Raw genomic sequence first — 23,547 nt, 5'->3', positions numbered from 1 at the left:
CAGTTTATTACCTTAATTTTTTTCCAAGATTCTAAACAAATACACTGCATTTCTAATATTCTTTGTAATATTTAAAAATAAAGCATTAAACAAAGCTTTTATGTGATATAGTCTACTAGACCAGAGGAAAGAAAAACTTACTGCTAGAATTATTTTTGCAAGTTTAAGGCTGAGCGAGTCTGAACCAACATCAACTAGTTTACACAGGGTCTTCAGGAGAATACTTCTTCCCTTAAATTTATTTCCAAGCATGTTTCCTTCCTCTAAAGCATGATGAAGTTGTGTGCAAGCAGCACAAACCGTTTCAATGTTTTCTTCTGTCAGAGCAAAGAGAGTAAAGCAACACTTACTAATTAAGGTTAAGTTTCCAAGTGTGTCAAACACAGACAGTGTAAGTAAAAACCCCATAATTATTTCCTTGGATATCTTCAAATTCCTGACCTCTATTTTTTTCTTATCTTATCACTTCCATCTACCTGATTTTTTTCATCCCTTTGATCCATCTCCTACCATGTTGACTTATTGCTTATCAGTCATTAGCTTATCTAGAATACACAGTCTTTCAAAGAGGTATTGAAGAATGGGACTGCTACCTGCTTCAGTTGGCCTCCTTTACTCCAGATGCCCTCCACCTCAGCCCGTGATCTGCTCAGTCTCACAGATGCATGCCACTTGCATCTTGACCTTCAACTCTTTTTTGCATAGCTCTACTGGCCTAAAATGTTCTCCATAACCCTCATTCCTACTGTTTTTGGTCCTTCGAGGCTCTGTTTATGTTGTAGCTGCTTCAGAAAAGATGCACTATTCCACATTCAACAAACATTACCTTAGGTTACTTATTTTTCATGTACGTATGTGTGTGTTGTGTTATATGACCAGTGCCCTCAAATAGATGTCATACTAAGTGAGCCAGTCTTACATTTCTTTCTATCAATAGCACATGGTACAGTGAGAATATTGTATAGAATACTGTATATAGCATAACTTCACACATATTCATTTTCTAATATATCTGTTGACAAAAACAATGATCAGTATTTTCCTATGAGAACAATGCTCATTACCTAAGAAAAGAGGGTTCTAATAGAACAAAAGCCTGAAATGTCACAAAATCCACCATTATCTGGAGGTGGTTATTAAAAAACAGGAGAATAAAAATATTTTTGTAAATCCAGCACTTTGGGAGGCCGAGGTGGGAGGGTTGCTTGATGCCAGGATCAAGGCCAGCCTGGGCAATATAGCAAGATCCTACTTCCAAAATAAAATAAAATAAAAAATAAATTTAAAAAAAGGAGAGTATTTTAGTTAGGAAACAGGGAGATCTTGAACCTTTCATCTTATAATTATGTTTGTGAGGAAAGTAATACCTATATTTTTTTGAGATGGAGTCTCACTCTGTCACCCAGACCGGAGTGTAGTGGTACATTCTTGGCTCACTGCAACCTCCACCTCTCAGGCTCAAGCAATCCTCCTGCCTCAGCCTCCTGAGTAGCTAGGACTCCAGACGCTTGTCACCACACCTGGCTAATTTTTTTATTTTTGGTAGAGATGGGGTTTTGCCATTTTGCCCAGGCTGGTCTCAAACTCCTAATCTCAAGTGATCTGCTTGCCTCAGCCTCCCAAAGTCCTGGGAATGTAATTTTTGGAAGTGGCAGCCACACTAATTGTCATACAAAGAAGAAAAATAGCACAAAAAAATGGAACATGAGGGGAAATAAAATAATCTAATGTATTCTGTCAAATAATATTATCTCTGATAGATTCCTTCATGAAATTTAAAAGTAGGAAACCAATCTTAAATAAATACCATAATGTGCTCTTAGAAGCCCACATAGAGGAAGTGTGTGCCTGCAGAAGGAAGTGACTCAGGCCATTTTTAGCTCTTTTCAACAATAACATCTAAGAAAAAATTTTAAACCTCAATAGCTAAGTAACCTTCAATGTCTTTTGGTTATGCACTTAAATGAATGAATTGATGGGAAATGACTTAGCCTAACTTTAAATAAAGGGAAAAACCTGAACTCCTATTGTATGAAACACTTGTGTTTTGTTGTTTTATTCTTCTGTGACTGGCAGTTTCTTTACAAACCCTAAGTCCAGGCTCTGGGCCACTCATTGGCAGTGGGTGGTCCTCAAAGTATTTTCTAAGACTTCCTTCCACAAACTCTTCAGCCTGGTAGGTTCTACTCAAGAATACTTGTTTTTAGCTTTAAAAAGGGGTTAGAAAGAAAGGCTCAAGGGTCAAATTTTAAACTATTGATCAAATCAATCCTTTATACCAAATAGTTTGTTATAAATGCTCTATAGCTTCAAAAGACAACTTGAATCTACAAACTATCAAGATTTGCAAGGGGCTAAATCTAGTGGGTAAAAGTTTGATTGTAACAGAGAGTAACATAATCTCAGAGTAACTTCTATCCCCAAGATATGTATTCATTACAAAGGAAAGAATAAAAACCTGACAGTGGGTACAGCTGTGGGACACGACCAGCAACAGAATGCATCAGCATCGTGTACTCCTGGCAGGAGGTGCTGAGAGGGACACAGCAGCACTCATGTGCTCTGCCTGCCCAAGATGCTAACCTGGAGCTCATCACGGGAAAACATCAGACAAACCCAATTTGCGGGACAGTCTGTAAAATATTCCTCAAATACATCAAGATCACGAAAGAGACGTGACAAATGATGAGAACTTGTGATCCAGGCTTTTATTTTTTCTACAAAGGAAATTATTGGGACAAATTGGCAAAATTTGAGTAAGATTTTTATAGTATTGTATGGTAATTTCCAGATATATAAGAGAATGTTTTTGTTTCTAAGAAATACATGCCAGCCGGCTCAGTGGCTCACACCTGTAATCCCAAAACTTTGGAAGGCCGAGGCAGGTGGATCACTTGAGGCCACAAGTTTGAGACCAGCCTGGCCAACATAGCAAAATCCCATCTCTACAAAAAATACAAAAAATTAGCAGGGTGTGGTGGTGCGCACCTGTCATCCCAGCCACTGAGGAAGCAGAGGCACAAGAATTGCTTGAACCCAGGAGATGGAGGTTGCAGTGAGCTGAGATCGTGCCACTGCACTCCAGCCTGGGCAACAGAGCAAGACTCTGTCTCAAAAGAAAAAAAAAAATTAGGCCAGGTGCGGTGGCTCATGCCTGTAATCCCAGCACTTTGGGAGGCCAAGGCAGGTGGATCATAAGGTCAGGAGTTTGAGACCAGCCTGGCCAATATGGTGAAACCCCTGTCTCTACTAAAAATACAAAAAAATTAGCCAGGCATGGTGGCGGGTGCCTATAGTCCCAGCTACTCAAGAGGCTGAGGCAGGAGAATAGCTTGAACCTGGGAGGCAGAGGTTGCAGTGAGCCGAGATTGCGCCACTGCACTCCAGCCTGAGTGACAGAGCGACTGTCTCAAAAAAAAAAAAAAAAAAAAAAAAAAAAAAAAAAAAATTCCTTCTTTCCTGTAGGAAGGCTTCCTACAAGAAAGGCCTTCACAATACTGACTCAGTGTCCCCATTCAATGTTGTGCAATATATTTTCTTGTGTAACCCTTATCCAGACTCATTGTTCTTCTCACTAGTGTTTGCACATATCTCCTGAAATAAAGGGCCCAAAGCTAACGTGGCACGCTAAGATGAGGGTGAACATAGTAACTCTAGAGGGGAAAAAGTCATCACATTCATATCCTTAGGACTTTGGGCTGCAGAAGCCTTTGGAGATAACCTAATCTCCACCTCATCTGGCAGGTGAGAACACTATTGCACACAGAGTCTAGGTGACTCCTCATGGCCATACGCTTGGCGAGTAGCAGCACCGGGACCAGAACCCCGTCCAGGGCTCCCACATTAACCATGAACACAGCCAAGCACCAATGGGGAGCAGAGGAGGGGTGAGGTCATTTGAACCTTTCAGTAATCAGGTCTTTTGCAGCACATCTCTGTTTGGTTGCTGGGGAGGGTTCATTTACCCTGCTTCTCTTAGAGCATCTTCCTGTGGCTACCAAGCTGGTTTGCTCATCAACAACTCCTAGCAAAGGCTTACTGTGCACTGTGTGCCAGGCCCTGGGCTCTCCCTAGGGCTATGACCACTGCTCCAGAGGAGCCTGGTTAACTTCAGAAAGAGAATCCTTGAGGAGCTAGCTGCAAAGAGGGAGAAAGTGGAGGGCCATCCCATGACACGCTTTCCCTACCCTTGCAGGGACCCATCGATGGTGGGCCTTCACTTCTGGGGCAGTTCAGAGCGCAAGGGTGGGACACATCCCAGGCCATTTCCCATGCTGTGGGTGGCATTCCTGACGGATGTGCTCCCTTCAAGAGAGTAGGACAGATACCAGTTGGACCAAGGAAACCACGGGCACACCTGTCAAGGACGCCAGTTTATGAGACTCAGCTTCCAAGCCTGAAATCTGTTTTAATCTTTTACTTTCTTGAGTATGAAGAGCCACCTGAGAGAGGTTAAACCAGCATTTCCTTGGACAGAGGAAATGCTAATTAATTTATATTACAAAGGGAAGTTTTAGAAATTGGCTCTCTTGGTGCATTTAAAGCATAATCTTACTAAAAATTATGTGTGCATGTAATATTTAACACACACAGGGTAAATAAATAGATGACTTCATTTGTTTTTGAACATGTTCACAGAAATGATAGTGAAAACTTACTAAAAATATCAGGGCAATGGGGAACACATAAATAACTACAGGTATTTTTTAAAAAAAAAACAAAAACGGTTTTTTGTTTGTTTGTTTGTGTTTTACCCTTTTCTAATTCACGCAAAATCGGTACAATCCTTGTATTCCAAAAGACTTCGTCTACTTCTATTTCTGCGTCCTCTTCTTGCAGGTCAGCTTTTGGGACTGCAAAAGAAATCCAGAGCAGGAGAAAAAGCTATGAAAAAGGAGTTGTCATGAAGCATGGTCAAAAGCCTTTACTATTCATCACTACAATTAATAAACTAGAGAATTAAATTACCCTTTGCTCTCCAAGCCTGACTATTTCTCATTAGAACTACAGGTCTTCTAATCAAATTACCCCAAATTAAACTCAGACTGGATAATGTAAAAAATCAGAACTTTAAAATGTGATCTGGTCACTTCATAAAGTAGTAAGCTTTGTAAATACTGATGACTGTCAGTAAGGCAAACAGTTTTGAGTACATTTTTACTTAAACTTATCCCTCTGTAATGTAGAATAGGTAACTATAGATATATAAAGAATAAGGATTTTAAAAATGTGTAATGAAAAATTTTCTAAAAGGGAGACCTAAAATGGACATTTTCTATAGAAATAAAATGTCTACACTAACATGGGGCCAGTAGCATTAATGCCAAGTGATTTTGTGTGGTGTAGCAGAAAAGCCTGGGCCTTCGGGGCTGACAAATCTCAATTCAAATCCCAACTCCACTATGGACATGGTGAGTGATGGGGTCCAGTTTCTTATCCTTCCTGAGTCTCTGTTTCCTCATCAGCAAAACAGAATATTTGCCTTCAAGGGTATAAGAATTAAAAGACATGGTATAGGTAAAGCTCTGAGCTCAGTGCCAAGCCTTTAGCAATATACAGTATATAATTAATTTCATTTCCCTGATTAAACAAGTATACAAACATGTTATCACCCCTGCAGTATCTCATGCCTGTGTGATACTACCAAGCCATCAAGAGTAGATGCTGCCTGTGAATATGGGTTGTAGGGAATAGCAACCATTGACTGTGTACTCTAGATGCAGGAGGCCTCCATTTCATTTTTGCAGTAACACTATGAGGAGGTTCCCAAACTGTCTCCATTTTGCAAGTGAAGAAAGTGGAGCCCAGGTGTATTAAGTTATCTGCCTGGGGTCATATAACTCCCCAGCCTCTGCATTTGACCTCAAAGCTATGCTGACTTGCAGCAAACTAGCCGACTAAAGGGTAACACTGGGGGGAAATGTAACTCATATTAGAAACTGCAAATTATGATTATATTTCACACAGGCAGTATCTCAAGATCTAAAACACTGACTGTAGCTAGAGGTGGCTTTGCTGTGCTGAGGCATTACTGAATAGTCCTGAGATGTATTCCTCAGTCTCTCTTCTCTGAAGACCACCCCTTAAGTCCTTTATCCGGCACTTGGTCTACATCAAGTCAGGGAGTCCATGCCCTCTCGGGGCAGGGTGGACCTGGTACCAATTAAGTGTCCACACAGAAGATGCCTGGACCCTAAAAATGTCACACAAAGAGTTAGAAATCAGGAAGGATCGGAAGGTGAGAGGTTGGAAGAGAGAGAGAGAGAAGAGACAGAGAAAGACAGAGAGACAGAGACAGACAGAGGAGCAAACGGGTATATGGCCCATGTATTTTCAGGTTACTTTGCACAAAGGACAAGTTGAGCAGGGGGCCTATCAATAGCACAGGTTTGGAGTCACCATCTGGGTTTGAATCCTAGCTCTGCCACCTACTAGCTCGTTGACTATGGGCAAATTGCTTTACCTCTCTTCTGTAAAATGGGGTAACAATGGTTATCTCTAAATATTGGGATTAGGATTATTAATTTCTTTTATGCGCTCTTCTGTATTTTCCAATGCCTCTAATGCATTCTTATTATTCTTGAAGAGAAAAATATATACAACACATATTGAATGTGTGTAATACCTTAGTAAATATCCATATTAATATTTTTTAATATTAATATGGATTAAAATAAAATTCTCTGCATCAAGAAATCCAATAAAGTCCCTTGATGATTATCTGTGAAAATAGCAGAGAAATCCATAGATAACACATAATGGCATATATTTAAGAATTCATTTGAATTCAGAGATGTATTTGAATTCTGACATGAATCCTCAAACCATCAAATGGTGCTGATGTCACCCAGGAGAAGCAGGGACGCTGTGCAATCTACCTATCCCACCCAACACACAGGCCTTCCCATTATACTACATGCTAGAAATGGCCACTCCCAGTTGCAGCAAGTCCAGGCTTGCCTTTTATCAACCCTTCCCACTGCCAAGAGCAGCTGAGCCACACAGGGCATCCAAGATCACCTAAGCAGCAAAAGTAAATAGAGGTTGTCAACAAAGCTATTATTAAACATTTGCAGTGCAGTAAATAGCCTTAATAGCAAGGTTTCAGATAATCTATCTAACCCAATGCAAGACTTCACCATCAGATACTAAATTGAATTGTCTTTAGGACAAATTAGTCCACATCAGTACAGATTCACAATCCCTTATCCAAAACCTTTGGAATCAGATGTGGTGTGGGATGCAGGAACATATGGATTTTAGAAAGTCAATATGGTATACACATTGCATATTACGTACCACCCCTGTAGGGTCTTCTGCGGCAGCACCCTGTAGCAAAATATATGAATATTCACAAAACCAAGACTCTAACTGACTTCCCATCAGGCTCAGGGATTCTGGAACTACAGATAGTTTGTAGACTACCATCTCAATCTTTTGGGTCATTGTTTTTATGAATCTGCCTTAACTTTGATAATTTATGGATATGGATTCTAAAAGTAAACATGAATATTCAAGTAATACAAAAAACATACTTGCTCATATTTGTGGATAACTAACCTATTCAAAGTCCAAAGTATATAAAAAATAAAATAAAATCAACATTATCAAGGTAAGTGAAAGCCAGAAAATAAGTCAGGCGAGTTATTTAATTGATACATATTTATAACACACTTAAATTTACTAGAAACCAGACTTTGAGTCCAATAAGTTCAAGTCTGCATTTTTTACCTCCTATGCAATATGCTGCTTAATAGAGAACTTCTATGAGAAACCATGACTATCAACCTGTTTTTCAGGACAAATAAAATGGATAACTTATTCACCCCAGAAAGAGCTGAATTATAGGGGTGAATCAGAAATCACAGAACAATTTATTTAACCCTTACGGGCCCTTCTGAATGTTTCTGAGATTTGCTTCTTCTCAGAACCAAAGTTACTCAGTCACTGGTATGAGGGTTTCCTTCCAACCCTCTCCCAGGAATTTCAAAGGGCACAGTTGTGTCTGGCTACAGCCTTTCCACCTCTTCATTCACGCTGGGCCTCCTCCTGCCTCCATTTTATACACAATCCCTGAGTTACTCTAGAAAATGAAGCATGGAATCATATAATTGCTTTTTAAGATACACACAAACACACAAATAATAATAAGGTTGTTTCAATCTTGGGCAACAATCTAATATTTTAGAAAGCACTTTCATCTAGGTTCACAGTTTGCTAAATATAAACATTATGATTCAACAGGAAATTGGGTAAGTCAAGCAAAAATTTCAGCATGTTTTTGAAGATTTTGCTGTCTCAGTGGTTATAGTTGTTAACCACAGCTTTGAGTTCTGGACACAAAAACCTGACACAATGTTTGGATTGGCTGATGTTTTTAGCACGTAAATGTAAAATCCTTAGCAACTATGCTGGCTCAGAAATTAGTATATCTAAGATTTTCCTGAGTAAAGAAATTCCCAATGACACAGAAGTCATTTTATTGATAAAAAACTAAATTTTGAAGATAAGAATTTTTAAAATCTACTATTTAGTATTGTAAAATCTCATGGGTACAAAAATATATGAAGAATATAACAGACATCAGTGTACCCCACACTAGTTTGGTCAGATATTAACATTTTGCCATATTTTTATCCTTTCCCTTATTTTAAAGAAATGAAACATTACAGATATGTGGCTCCCTGCATCCATTCCCCTCCTCCTCTCCCTCTAGGGGTTACCACCATCCTAAATCCACTGGTTACTATGACTACACTTGACTTCGCATGCTTACCACATGGCTGTGTATCCATAAACAATATATGTCTTTGCTTTTGCAACTTGTTTCATCTCATATTATGTTTGTACTGAATTTACTCAATATTACAATATTACAAAAGCCCATGAGTTCACTTTTGTGACAACTATATTCTATTGCATGAATACATTTTGTATCATTTCTAGACTGTGGTTTATATTGTTATATATTTTCTCAAACACTTTAAAGGCCCAAAGGACGGTCTTAATAAAGTTAATATAGTTTCATTTAAGTGAGCAATTATCTTTTTTTTTTTTTTTTTTTGAGATGAGTCTCGCTCTGTCGCCCAGGCTGGAGTGCAGCGGCGTGGTCTAGACTCACTGCAAACTCCATCTCCTGGGTTCAAGTGATTCTGCTGCCTCAGCCTCCCAAGTAGTTGGGATTACAGGTGCCCCACTCCCTCCCACCATGCGTAGCTAATTTTTGTATTATTATTATTTTTTTTTGGTAGAGATGGGGTTTCATGATGTTGGCCAGGCTGGTCTTGAACTCCTGACCTCAAGTGATCCGCCTGCCTCAGTCTCCCAAAGTGCTGGGATTACAGGCGTGAGCCACCATGCCCAGCCAAGCAATGCCTTGAACTCAAGCTTTGAACCCAAGAACTATGTTAATGTCAAGTTTTGCAACTTTCCAAATGCTTTTACAAAATGATTTCTATAAAACCATTAAGACTGTCATCTAGGCCGGGCGTGGTGGCTCACCCCTGTAATCCCAGCACTTTGGAAGGCTGAGGCAGGCGGATCACGAGGTCAGGAGATTGAGACCATCCTGGCTAAAACAATGAAAGCTCGTCTCTACTAAAAATACAAAAAATTAGCCAGGCGTGGTGGCGGGCGCCTGTAGTCCCAGCTACTCAGGAGGCTGAGGCAGGAGAATGGCATGAACCTGGGAGGTGGAGCTTGCAGTGAGCCGAGATTGCACCACTGCACTCCAGCCTGGGCGACAGAGCAAGACTCCATCTCAAAAAAAAAAAAAAAAAAAAAAAAGACTGTCATCTATAGATGTTTGAGGCATCAGAGTTGGGTAGTGGTAAGATGGTAACATTGTATGAATATAATAAAAATGTATAAAAATAAATGTTGATTTGTGACCAAATTGGACAAACTTCCTTAAGTTTCCAGTGGCCAACATAGATATCTTCAGTGCAAACATCTTTCCTTCAAGTGGAGATGCTGTAGATGAAGGAGTGTGGGGACCCCTCACCTGCTTTGGTTTGCAGCCTGCTCAGGTCTGAGCTACTGGGGCATGATGAGGCCCTCGCATGTCTCTTCCCCTGGTCCCTAGGAGGAATACATAAAACACTCAGCGCAAACATGAAAACACTTCTAATTTTGTAAATGACAAGAGTCTGCTATATACAGTTTCTTATTTATTATTTTGAGATAGGTCTCACTCTGTCATCCAGGCTAGAGAACAGTGGTGCTGTGATCATAGCTCACTGCAGCCTCAAACTCCTTGGCACAAGTGAGCCTCCCACCCCAGGCTCCCGAGTAGCCAGAACTACAGGCACATGCCACTATGCCTGGTTATTTTTAAAAAATATTTTGTAGAGACAGGGTCTCACTATGTTGTCCAGGCTGGTGATTCCTGGTCTCAAGTGATCCTCCTGCCTCAGCCTCCCAAAATGCTAGTATTATAGGAGTGAGCCACTGTGTCCAGCCGATATACAGTTTCTGAAGAAACCATCGAGAATTGTTTAAAAGATGGGGTTTGGTGCTCTATATGTGGGTTTTTTTTGTTTTTGTTTTTGTGTTTTTGAGACGAAGTCTTGCCCTGTTGCTCAGGCTAGAGTGCAGTGGTGCGATCTCAGCTCACTGCAACCTGCCTGAGCCTCCCCAGTAGCTGGGATTACAGGCACATGCCACCATGCCCGGATAATTTTTGTATTTTTAGTAGAGACGGGGGTTTCGCCATGTTGGCCAGGCTGTTCTCAAACTCCTGACCTCAGGCGATCTGCCCGCCTCAGCCTCCCAAAGTGCTGGGATTACAGGCATGGGCCACCACCCCTGGCCTCTATATGCTGCTTTAATTTACCTTTGATTTCCCGGTAAGATTTATCTTTTTAAAACAAGTCATATTTGCCTAACAACATGAAATACAGTTACTAGAAAGAACAAAAAATCCAGTTTACTTTGCAAATCAAAACAAAATTGGTTAAGGATATATACCACAAGGGGTCACTGTTACAATAAGAAAGAACTCTGGGATGCTTGGATTACAAAAGCTTAGCCTTTGGGAGCTGGGAAAGACCTCTGTCTCTTTTTCTCTCTTCCTCCCTTCCCCGATCCCTGCAGATAAAGAAACTGTCCCAGCTGGCCAGATGTGCCCAAGGTCACACAGTAAAGACAGATTTGGAACTTAGGTCTCATAATTTACAAATTTGCTTCTCTTTCCACTACATAAAAATGTGCCCTGATTCCATTTTTAAAATTAAATTAATATTCTCTGACAATATTTATTTTTAGAAATATTTTAAACATTAAAAAACTGAAAATAAATTTGGACAGTCCCCAGATGATAAATATTTTGTATTCCAAATAAAAGAGCAGTGGCTGGCCAACAGCAGGATTACATGCTCAGGTTTTTAAAAAGTTTTATTTAATGTAGAGAACATCTCTGAAGGATACAGCTTCTCTTTAGCCAGAGCTGACACTTAGAAGTACTTACTTTTAAATATGTGCACAAAATTCCAAGGTAAAAAAACACCAGGAAAAGAAGAGTGCAAGTTTTATATCAAAATTTCTTTTTGTCCATCAAATATAATAGTTGCTCCAAAAAACTCACAAAGAAGGCTTATACATGTGATAGTCCCTGTGAACATCTGTATGTGCCCGTGGCTTCTCCTTCCTGTGTAGTGAGCCCCCCAGTGACTATGCCATGTTGCAGCTTAGCCCTTGGCCTTTCCTACCGCCCTGAAGATTAGCTTCTCCAAATACCATTTTTTACTTCATTAACATGTTCCCCCCACCTTTTTTTTTTTTTTTTTTGAGATGGAGTTTCACTCTTGTTGCCCAGGCTGGAGTGCAATGGCGTGATCTCGGCTCACCCCAACTTCCGCCTCCCAGGTCCAAGGGATTCTCCTGCCTCAGCCTCCCGAGTAGCTGGGATTACAGGCGTGTGCCACCATGCCTGGCTAATTTTGTATTTTTAGTAGAGATGGGGTTTCTCCATGTTGGTCAGGCTGGTCTCAAACTCCCAACCTCAGGTGATCCGCCTGCCTCGGCCTCCCAAAATGCTGGGATAACAGGTGTGAGCCATGGCGCCCACCAGCCACCCCATTTTTTTTTTAAACACTTAACACTTCCTTTAATCATAAAATAGGAAAAAGATGAAGTCAATTTTCCAAAAATTGTCTAATTAATATTCAGAAATAACTGCTTTATTTGTACATAATAAAAATACGATAGCAAATGTCACTAGCCAATCGAAAATGGCTACGGGGACAGGGACCTCTCAAAGAAGGCAGAAATAAAAGAATCAACCTTGCAAAAAGGTAAAATACCAAGTTTGTCAGGGTGTGGAGCCAAGGAAGTTCTCATATTTATCACTCCTAGAAATAACAAGAAGGTTTGAGACTAGGGACAAGGCCTTGCTTTCAATACATACACCTGCCCTACACAACTATTAAAATCAAGCAAGATACTTTTCAACTAATGGGCTTCCAAAGTCACTGGTCCACTCTCCCTCAAGTCATGGTCAGTGATGAGGTTGCCTACATAAATACCACACGCATGTATCCCCACTTCTAGGGGAAAAAATGAAGTGTCCTTCTTATATGCAAATGCTTAGCAGTGCTGGGTCTCCCAGTTCTCAAGCAGAGCACAGAACTAATTAACTCAAGATGGATTAAAGACTTAAACATAAGACCTAAAACCATAAAAACCCTAGAAGAAAACCTAGGCAATACCATTCAGGACATAGGCATGGGCAAAGACTTCATGACTAAAACAACAAAAGCAATGGCAACAAAAGCCAAAATTGACAAATGGGATCTAATTAAACTAAAGAGCTTCTGCACAGCAAAAGAAACTATCATCAGAGTGAACAAGCAACCTACAGAATAGGAGAAAATGTTTGCAGTCTATCCATCTGACAAAGGGCTAATATCCAGAATCTACAAAGAACTAAACAAATTTACAAGAAAAAAAAATTCCATCAAAAAGTGGATGAAGGATATGAACAGACACTTCTCAAAAGAAGACATTTATGCGGCCAACAAATATATTTTAAAAAGCTCATCATCACTGGTCATTAGAGAAATGCAAATCAAAACCACAATGAGATATCATCTCACTCCAGGTAGAATGGCAATCATTAAAAAGTCAGGAAACAGTAAATGCTGGAGAGGATGTGGAGAAATAGGAATGCTTTTACACTGTTGGTGGGAGTGTAAATTAGTTCAACCATTGTGGAAGACAGTGTGGCAATTCCTCAAGGATCTAGAACCAGAAATACCATTTGACCCAGCGATCCCATTACTGGGTATATACCCAAAGGATTATAAATCATTCTACTATAATGACACATGCACACGTATGCATATTGCAGCACTGTTCACAATAGCAAAAACTTGGAACCAACCCAAATGTCCATCAATGATAGGCTGAATAAAGAAAATGTGGCACATATACACCATGGAATAGTATGCGGCCATAAAAAAGGATGAGTTCGTGTACTTTGCAGTGACATGGATGAAGCTGGAAACCATCATTCTCAGCAAACACAAGAACAGAAAACCAAACACTGCATGTTCTCACTCATAAGTGGGAGTTGAACAATGAGAACACATGAACACAGAGAGGGGCACATCACACACTGGGGCCTGTCGGGGGGTGGGGGGCTAGGGGAGGGATAGCATTAGGAGAAATACCTAATGTAGACGATGGGCTGATGGGTGCAGCAAACCACCATGGCACATGTATACCTATGAAACTGCACTTTCTGCACATGCATCCCAGAACTTAAAATATAATTTTAAAAAAGTAACAATAATGTTAGAAATAAAAAAAGAGCACAGGACTGGTATTAAGTGCTGTTCTACGTGATCCTTACGTTGTGGTGGGTATATGTAGGTTCTGAAGCCAAGCTGCCTGAGTTTGGGTCCTGGGTCTAACTTTTATCAGCATTGTGATCTTGGGTGAACTACTTAGCTTTGGTTTCCTCATCATTAATTTTTTTTTTTAAATAGAGATGGGGAGCTTGCTATGTTGACCAGGCTGGTCTAAAATTCCTGGCCTCAAGCAATCCTCCCATCTCGGCCTCCCAAATTGCTAGGATTACAGGTGTGAGCCACTGCGCTGAGCCTGGTTTCCTCATCTTAAATTGAATGCAATGACTCTGCTTAGTACACTGACTGACACTGGAAGAACTTAATAAACAGATTAATTTTCTCTTTCCTTATGAGTCAGTAATCACTTGTCTAAGCAGTCCAGAGTCAAATCTTATTGAGCTAAAGAATGTGCATGGCATTGCCCTGATGAAGTTTAAAATCTACTCTGAGGAACTAAGAAACCACTGTTTTTTTTTTTTTTTTTTTTTTTTTTTTTTTTTTTTTTTTGAGACGGAGTCTCGCTCTGTCACCCAGGCTGGAGTGCAGTGGCGGGATCTCGGCTCACTGCAAGCTCCGCCTCCCGGGTTCACGCCATTCTCCTGCCTCAGCCTCCCAAGTAGCTGGGACTACAGGCGCCCGCCACTACGCCCGGCTAATTTTTTTTGTATTTTTAGTAGAGACGGGGTTTCACCGTTTTAGCCGGGATGGTCTCGATCTCCTGACCTCGTGATCCGCCCGCCTCGGCCTCCCAAAGTGCTGGGATTACAGGCGTGAGCCACCGCGCCCGGCCCGGAACCACTGTTTTTTAATGGAAAAGTCCAATAGAGTTGTTAATAAAGTACTAGAATGTGAAATTCAACAGATTGTAAGAACTAGAGGGTGCTAAGAAGGAAGTGATTAGTGAGTGGGAGAAGTGGACTACAAAATGGGCCTTAAAAGAATAAAAGTTGGCCGGCATGGTGGCTCACGACTGTAATGCCACCACTTTGGGAGGCCTAGGTGAGACGATCACTTGCACCTAGGAGTTCAAGGAGTTCAAGACCAGCCTGGGCAATATGGCAAGACTTTCCCTCTAAAAAAAATTTTAAAACTATCTAGCATGGTGGCACACACCTGTAGTCCCGGCCACTTTGGAGGCTGAGGCAGGAGGATCGCTTGAGCCCAGAAGGTCGAGGCTGCAGTGAGCTGTGATTGTGCCATTGCATTCCAGCTTGGGTGACAGAGTGAGACCCTGTCTCAAAAATAATAACAGGCAGGGCGCAGTGGGTCACACCTGTAATCCCAGCACTTTGGGAGGCCGAGGCAGGCGGATCGCCTGAGGTCAGGAGTTCGAGACCAGTCTGGCCAATATGGTGAAACTCCATCTCTACTAAAAATACAAAAATTAGCCAGGCATGGTGGCGGGCGCCTGTAATTCCAGCTACTCAGGAGGCTGAGGCAGGAGAATCGCTTGAACCCAGGGGGCAGAAGTTGCAATGAGCCGAGATTGCACACTTCACTCCAGCCTGGGTGAAAGAGCAAGACTCTGCCTCAAAAAATAATAATAATAAAAGAATAAAAGTTAAACCAGCAAATGACAACACTACTCTCAGAAGGGGAATAGCATGAGTGAAAATAAAGACAGGCATAAGCAGACTGATACTGAGGGCAGGGGATAAGTGCCCAGGGCAAGTAAGACAGTCATAGAAGGTTTCCATGGGTTTACTCAACCCACACTATGGGCTGAGTAAATGAATCTGATTTGACAGGCAATAAGGAACTGTCATGGGTTCTTATACAAGGAAGTGATGCGATTTGGGGGTGTGCAATGTCAAGAGTATTTAGGAGACTTGGAGAGAAGGAACAAGGACTAATCTGAGGGTGACAGTGGAATTGGAGAAGAAGGAACACATTCAAGAGGTTCCGTAAGTCAAGGGTTGACAGGATTTCAGGCAGAGGAAATAACAGAATGTAGCCATGGAGGAATAGGATAGCAGGGGAAGCCTACCAGGGTTTCCACACAGCCATAGAGCTGAAGTCCCACAGTAAGACTGAATGGGGAAGAGAGGCATCAAGAAAAGAAAATCACTCCGTTAAGGAGAAAAGGAAGAATAGATGGACTTATGTACTCAAAAGAAATCTGTTTCTCTGTAAATTCTGCTCATTGGTCTTCGTTCTACTAATTGGAACTGCATGAAACAAATCTTTATTCTTTTTCTCCTTGATAATCCTGCACATATTTAAAGATGTTGCATTCCCCACATAAAGTCATCTCCTATGGTTTAAATCCCATGGTCCGACCACTTACAGCCGTGTGACCTCGGGTAAGTTTTGGTTTCCTCATCTGTAGAAAGGTGTGGTAAATAACACTATCCCCCAATGTGAGACTGTTGTGAGGACTAAATGATAGGATGTGCGATTGCTTGGCACAGTTCCAGGCACATGGTAACTAATACATGTTTACTATTATGGCTGTGGTCATCACTGATGTCATCAGCAAACTCCTCCAGTCCCTTCTACTGTTCCTCACATGATGCGGTTTCAAATCTCTTCCAGGACAATCAGTTACTCAAAGTGAGTGTTCGCTTGTCTGGATCCCTTTTAAAGTCTGGAACCCAGCACTCAGCCAAAGGTAGTATGGCTTGAGGACAGAGAGGAGATGTTCTACGTAACGCTGCAGCCTAAAATGACATTAGCGGTTTGGTGGTCACGTCACAGTGGTGGGTGTCTCTAATCTTTTCCTGCATGTTCACTAAGGCAGATTTTCCCATCCAGGTTGGGCCTTTGCTTGTTCTTCCTAAATTCCACAGTGCCGCATTTGGCAAAGCATTCCTGCCTATCAGATGTTTTTGGATCTTGATTCAGTCATCCAGCAAAATTGTTCTTCCTAGTTTCCTGTTCCATATTATTAAAGACTGTAATTAAATTTTTTGCAATGATTTTTCATGTACCAAAAATAATTTCAGAAGTTATTTCTTAAAGCTCCTCTGTGAAATTCTTCGTACAGGCAGATTGGCACTGTTTTGTTCTTTATGATATCTTGATCGACAAATAACAAAAACCTAATTTCAATGGATTTAAACAATAAATGCAATTTATTGACTCACATAACCTGAATGTGGACAGGTAGGGTGGGTTTTAGGCATGGTGCAATCAGGCCTTTGGCGGCATCTTTCTGCGATTCTCTCAGCTCTGCCCTTCCCTCAGTTCCAGCTGTAACCAGGTTGGAGTTCTGATTAAAGCAAAATGGGTCTGGCATTCCCAGGCCTCTCCTCAGCCCACATGTTTAAGAGCAAAAGCAAAGTCTTCTCTTGCAATCAGTGAGGAGGGTCCTACATTTCACTCTGAACAGCCAGAACCAATCTGTGGCTATGGCACTGCTACACACGGACTGACTTGAGTTACCACTGCCCATCCATGAGTCAATCATGTGGACAATATCTACTTTTGGACCACATGCACCCCAAAGAAATACAAGTATATTTCTTTAAAAATACTATAAAATTAGCCAGGCATGGTGGCTCACATCTGTAACCACAGCACTTTGGGAGGCTTAGGAAGGCAGATCACTTGAGGTCAGGAGTTCAAGACCAGCCAGCCTGGCCAACATGGCAAAACCACATCTCTACTAAAAATACAAAAATTAGCTGGGGGTGGTGGCGTGTACCTATAATCCCAGCTACTCGGGAGGTTGAGGCAAGAGAATTGCTTGAACCTGGGAGGCGGAGGTTGCAGTGAGCCAAGATCACACCACACACCACTGCACTCTAGCCTGGGCAACAGAGTGAGGCTCTGTCTCAAAAAAAAAAACAAAACAAACAAACAAAAAAAAAACTATAAAATTCAGACTTTGCTATAATTCTGACAGTTCTTCTAATTATTATGACTAAGGTTCTTTAGTCAGAGGTCAGCAAGCTTTTTCCCTAAAGAGCTAGATAATATATATTGCACACTTTGTGGGCCAAGTGGGAAAATCCAGGTACTACATGGTTACATTTGTAACCATTTAAAATGTAATGATTTAAAAAAGTGTATAAACCATTATTAGCTCAAGGGCTGTAAAAAAGAAAAACAAAACAAACAAAAACCAGATGGATGGCCAGATTTGGCTCCTGGGCTGTAGTTATATTGTTTGTTTGTTTGTTTGTGAGACGAGTATCGCTCTGTCGCCCAGGCTGGAGTGCAGTGGTGTGATCTCTGCTCACTGCAACCTCCACCTCCCAGGCTCAAGTGATTCTCCTCCCACAGCCTCCCAAAAGTAGTTGGGATTACAGGCATGTGCCTGTAATTAGCCACCACACCCGGCTAATTTTTGGATTTTTAGTAGAGATGGGGTTTCACCATGTTGGACAAGCGGGTCTCGAACTCCCAACCACAGGTGATTCGCCCACCTTGGCCTCCCAAAGTGCTGGGATTACAGGCGTGAGCCACCGGACCTGGCTGGCTGTAGTTTGTTTATTCCTACTTTGGAGGAATAACTAAACAAATATTAAGAAGTAGATTAAACAGAAGGATTTGGAATGTTTAAAAAGTCAATAAATTTATTTCCATTTTGGAAAAAATGACGTAAGGAAATTGTAAAGGATGCTTATGGATAAGAGAAAATTTAGCAACTTTTGAACTAAACTTATCCTTGCCATAAGAAAAAGACACTTCGTTTTTCAAACTAGATTCAAGTTGTGTAGGATCAAGGCAGGTAGTAAATGTTTTAGGCTTTGTGGCCACACAGTTTCTGTCATAAGTACTCAATTCTTGCTGCAGTGTGAAGATGGCCATGGACAATAGGTAAAAGATGAGTGTGGCTGTGTTCCAATACAGTTTATTTACAAAAACAGGCAATGGGCTGGATTTAGCTCATGGGCCTTAGTTTGCTGATCCTGCTTTATAGTCTCTTCCATACTTCGACTGCAATTTGGTAATGCCAACAGAGGGGTGGACAATGGAGGGAGGGTCCCCTCAGCATGTTTCATAGCCTAAAGCACTAGATATACAGTTTCCAGACAGATTATCACTTTTTCTTTTCTTTTCTTTTCTTTTTTTTTTTGCGACAGAGTCTCACTCTGTCACCCAGGCTGGAGTGCAGGGGTGCAATCTCAGCTTACTGCAACCTCTGCCTCCTGGGTTCAAGCGATTCTCCTGCCCCAGCCTCCCAAGTAGCCGGGACTACACCTGGCTAATTTTTTGTATTTTTGGTAGAAATGTGATTTCACCATGTTGGGCATGCTGGTCTTGAATTCCTGACCTCGGCCTCCCAAAGTGCTGAGATCACAGGTGTGAGTTACCGTGTCCAGCCAGATTATCACTTTTTCTTAATTACTAAACTTAAAGCATTCTACTTAAACAGCTATACACAAACACTTGAAATTAAAGGACATGGTTTTAAAGGGATGTCTGTAAGATCAAAATTTTAAGAAAGTCCTCCAAGGTACTTAATAGTGTTGGCTTGGGCACAAGACTAAAATACATACACACACACACACACACACACACCCCTTGGCACCTTTTTTAATAATCACTAACTGGTTATTATTAAAGTTCTATATATATATACACGATTAGATATATTGCTTTGTAGCTATCCATGTTAGCTTAACTTAGTTAACCTTAAATTCCCTTAGCTTAAAGGCTCATGGTTTCATACTCCCCTTAACATTCAAAGCCCCACAGTTTCAAGGTACTGCATGTGAAAAGCCCTTGTAACTTGTCAGTGCTGTACCTGTGAGGATTTCGTTCAGTACAGGGAGCAGTGGCTGTGACTGGCCTCTTCTGCAGCATGCTACTGTGTTAACCAGTGCCATGCAGGGTTCCATCTCTGCTTTCCATTCTGAATGCCCTGGTGCCGTGCTCCCTTCACACCTTACGCCAGAACTGCTACAACAGCTTCCCAATGGCTTCCTTTGTCCCAGGCTCTCCTCTCCCCATTCGTCCTTCACATAACTGACAGCGAAAGTCACCTCTCAGTGGTGCACCTTTATTTAAACAATGGACCCACATACCTGGGAGTAGCATTGAAGGCCATCTGTCATGTGTCCCTAACTTCCCTTCCAGACATGCTGCTCAGCGCTATGGCTTGCAGCCTCAGGATGCCTCCTGCCACTGCCACGTCAAATCCCACTTCTGGCTTATGCTCCTCCTTTAGCCAAGAACACAGTGCTCCATCCCTCACGAAAATCAACCTTCAAAATGCACCCCCAAATCCCAACTACTCTAGGAATTTTCCCTTGATCCTCAAGTCAGAATTAGCTGCTCTGACCTCTAAATTTTCAGTATACCTTCTTTCAGTTCCCCTTTCTTTCCTCCAGCATTTGAGTTCATCTTTGAACAGTGCTTCTAGACCTTGTGTGTGCATTCAAAGCACTTGGAGATCTTATAAAAATGCAGATTCTAATTTGGTAAGTCTGGGGACTTACATTTCTAACAGGCTCCCAGGGGATGCTGATGCTGCTGGTCCAGGGACCATACTTGAGAAGCAAGGCCTGACACGCTGGTAAGCTCTTCATGGACAGGGTCCACTCTTCTATCTCTCAACCCCTCAGCACAGGGCATTGCTTACCAGGAAACGCTTATCGGACAGAAAGGAGGGTCTCTACAAAATCAGGCCAATGTCTTTGTCTTTTCCAAATGGAAAGTTTCTCAGCCACATTGCTCTTAAAATCTTAAAAGAATAATGACTTCATTGTTTTTGAAAAAATGATATATTTATTATTTTTTAAAAGCCAGGCAATATAATAAAGTACAAAGAAGATTTTAAAAAAATTATCCAGGATCCCACCACCCAGAAATAAACATCATAATATGTGGTCAACATCATTCCAGACATATTTCTGCAGATGTTCAGAGGAAAAGATAGAAGAATGAAAGAACAGAAGGGCAGGAGGGAGGGCAGGTAAATGGATACATATAAATGGAATCATACCATACATGTTATTGTAGTGAAAAAGCATTAAGTATAAACTTTGCTTGAACTTAACAAAGAAACAGAAATTGAGGTGAAACTGAAGGAATTGTAGAACTTCAGATGAATGGGTCTTCACAAAGAGAGAATAGTTTCTAAAAGATCTCTCTAAAGTTAAGAAAAAAGTAATGAAAAACATTAGGATGCTGAAATCATTATTTTTTCAACTATATATTGCAATTTCAGACTTTAGCTACTGACAAATCTATTCCCCATTATGAAAGTAAAGAAATCAGTACTCACACTTCCTCCCAAGTACTGGTTTTGGTTATTTATATTACTACCACATTGTCAAGGTTTCTGTTCCATAAGCAGAGTTGTTTAGTTTTAATCCAATACGAAAACAAAATCATTACTGTACTCACCATGAATGCTTTTACCATAGCTTCTTCATTTCTAGGTTTTGAATTTTGACTCATCATTTTGTTGTCTACAGGTTTTCTGGAAAGTGCATGAGTAGTATATTCCCTCAGTTCATTCATATTGAAAGTGTCTATCTGTTGCTTCTGTACAACTGGACTGGCAATACAATTCTTCAGTTACCCCTTATTACACTTAGGACTTCATAGACATTACTGCCTTCTGGCACTGAGTGATTCTTTAAGAAAACCAGAAGCCAGCCTGTCTTCTTCTCCTTTTATGTGACTTGTTCATTCAGCCGGGAGAGCCATATGAAACTTTCTTCCATTTGCCCGCCCAATCAACAATTATTCACTGAGTGCGTACTATGTACTGGGTAGTGTTCTAGTGCTGAGCACTGGTGGAAATGTCTTAGTATGGATTATTCCATATCAAATTTTTCTTGGAATACCATGTGTCCATTTGAGCTTCAGATTTAAGTATTTGTTTCAGAAAGTTTTCTTCTGTTATGTCTTAATATTTTTCTTCTTTCTGCTCTGATCTCTTCCATTCTTCATGAGTTGTTGTGAATATTAAATGACTTAATATACGCAAAGGACTTAGAAAAGTGTCTGACAATTCACAGTAAGACAGCGTTAGCAGAGGAAGTGAAGGAAGATAATTATCTTCTTCAGGAAAACAAGTTTCATTCTTCCATATCTATCTCAATAATCATTTTCATAGCTTTATTATTCATTTCTTTTTGTAAGATTTCTTCTAGCCTGTCCACCATGTCCTACTGTATTTTCACCTGTTTTATTCTAATTTTTTATTCCTAATGTAGCTTTCCTCTTGATACATTTTTCTTTCATTTCTTTTTTGCGTACTGTAAGCTTATTTTTCATCTCCTTATATGGGCTTAGAATCTCTCATTTAAATTCTTATAACCCAAAGAACAGTGCTTTTTTCCTTTTTTTTTTTTTTTGAGAGGGAGTCTCACTCCATCGCCTAGGCTGGAGTGCAGTGGCATGATCTCGGCTCACTGAAAGCTCTGCCTCCCGGGTTCACGCCATTCTCCTGCCTCAACCTCCCGAGTAGCTGGGACTACAGGTGCCTGTCACTATGCCCAGCTAATTTTTTTTTGTATTTTTAGTAGAGACAGGGTTTCACCATGTTAGCCAGGATGGTCTTGATCTCCTGACCTCATGATCTGCCCGCCTCGGCCTCCCAAAGTGTTGGGATTACAGGCGTGAGCCACCATGCCTGAACCCTTTCTTTTTTTTTTTTAAGAGAATGATCACATTATCTATAATTTCTCTGAGACTATGGAAAATTGTTTGAACTCTTTCCATGTTTTTGGAAGGTAATACCTTCTGTGATCCACTTCCTTCATCTTTTTTTTGCTATGTTCCTTATATATCTAAGCTCAAGTCCCACGTTGGTTCCTATCTTAATAGTATTTATCTTTAAACAGAGCCATTTATTTATTAACGCTGAATAAGGATCCATAGAGAGAGCGAACGGAGGTATTCTGTAGCTTAAATTTTAGTCTGTTTTCTTAAACTTGCAATCACCAAATCCATTACCTTTGCTGACCTGGGAGTATATGTTCCCTTGGTTTGTGTGGAGCAGGTCGCTGTGATGCACACAAAAGCCCTTTCACATGCTGGGTTCCTTAAATTCTAATGTATCAAGCCCCTCCCCCAAAACACACACATACACAAACTAGCTGGCTCACATGTAACCAGGAGTGTGTGTCATCCTCAGCTCCATCTTCCCCCTCACTTCTTGATCTGGATCTTGAATGGAGTCCTTACACAGGGCATACTCCCTGCTCCCGCAGCCTGCCTACATCGTTAGATCTCATATCTTTAATTAAATATTGAGTACATCTTTCTGAATTAAAAGACTCACTTTTAGTGAAATCTGTTTCTTGCTCAAGGTCTGAGAAGGTATGTGTCCACTTTCAAATTACCCCTTGTTATAATCTAGATTTCTTAGGGCCTGGAAGGTTAACTAGATTCTTATGAATGCAATGTTCCAAGTAACAAAACCTAATCTAAAGTACCATAAACCGTCCCTGTTGGAAGGAAGGAAGGAAGGAGTGAAGGAAGGAAGGAAGGAAGGGGAGGGGAGGGGAGGGGAGGGAGAGAAGAAAAGAAAGAAGAAAGAAAAGAAAAAGAAAGAGAAAGACAGAAAGAAAGAAAAGAAAGGAAAGAAAGAAACAAAGAAAGAAAGAAAGAAAAAAAAAAGAAAAAGAAAAGAAAGCAAGCCAGCCACGGTGGCTCACGCCTGTAATCTCAGTACTTTGGGAGGCTGAGGTGGGCAGATCACAAGGTCAGGAGATCAAGACCATCCTGGCCAACATGGTGAAACCCCATCTCTACTAAAAATACAAAAATTAGCTTGGCGTGGTGGCACATG

General features: G+C 40.9%; 1 protein-coding gene across 19 annotated transcripts in view, besides 1 other annotated feature; it reads right to left on the bottom strand.

Moving 5' to 3' along the window:
* ARMC2 (armadillo repeat containing 2) overlaps positions 1-23,547 on the bottom strand; it is a 204,619-nt gene that overhangs the window by 148,494 nt on the left and 32,578 nt on the right. For 18 of the 19 annotated variants that reach the window (XR_007059340.1, XR_007059341.1, XR_942600.1 and 15 more), the window contains 3 exons: positions 10,004-10,080; positions 4,755-4,853; positions 142-317 (listed from right to left, as the gene is read on the bottom strand). Coding sequence is in view for 15 of the 19 variants with exons in the window: in XM_047419396.1 (XP_047275352.1) it covers positions 142-317; positions 4,755-4,853; positions 10,004-10,080 (352 nt within the window). In the remaining 4 variants the exon portion in view is untranslated. The remainder of the gene's footprint in view (positions 1-141; positions 318-4,754; positions 4,854-10,003; positions 10,081-23,547) is intronic. The other variant, XM_047419397.1, reaches the window with a different exon arrangement.
* Positions 6,362-7,561: an enhancer, noted in NCBI's record as "MED14-independent group 3 enhancer chr6:109218189-109219388 (GRCh37/hg19 assembly coordinates)". NCBI's record gives its function as "activates an origin of replication core promoter dependent on BRD2, BRD4, P300/CBP and CDK7 cofactors, and independent of MED14, by STARR-seq in HCT116 cells {active_cell/tissue: HCT116}" and the evidence as "EXISTENCE:reporter gene assay evidence [ECO:0000049][PMID:35650434]".

Source organism: Homo sapiens, chromosome 6, assembly GCF_000001405.40.
Source record: "Homo sapiens chromosome 6, GRCh38.p14 Primary Assembly".
Lineage (NCBI taxonomy): Eukaryota > Metazoa > Chordata > Mammalia > Primates > Hominidae > Homo > Homo sapiens.
This window is presented reverse-complemented; position numbering and strand designations above follow the sequence as displayed.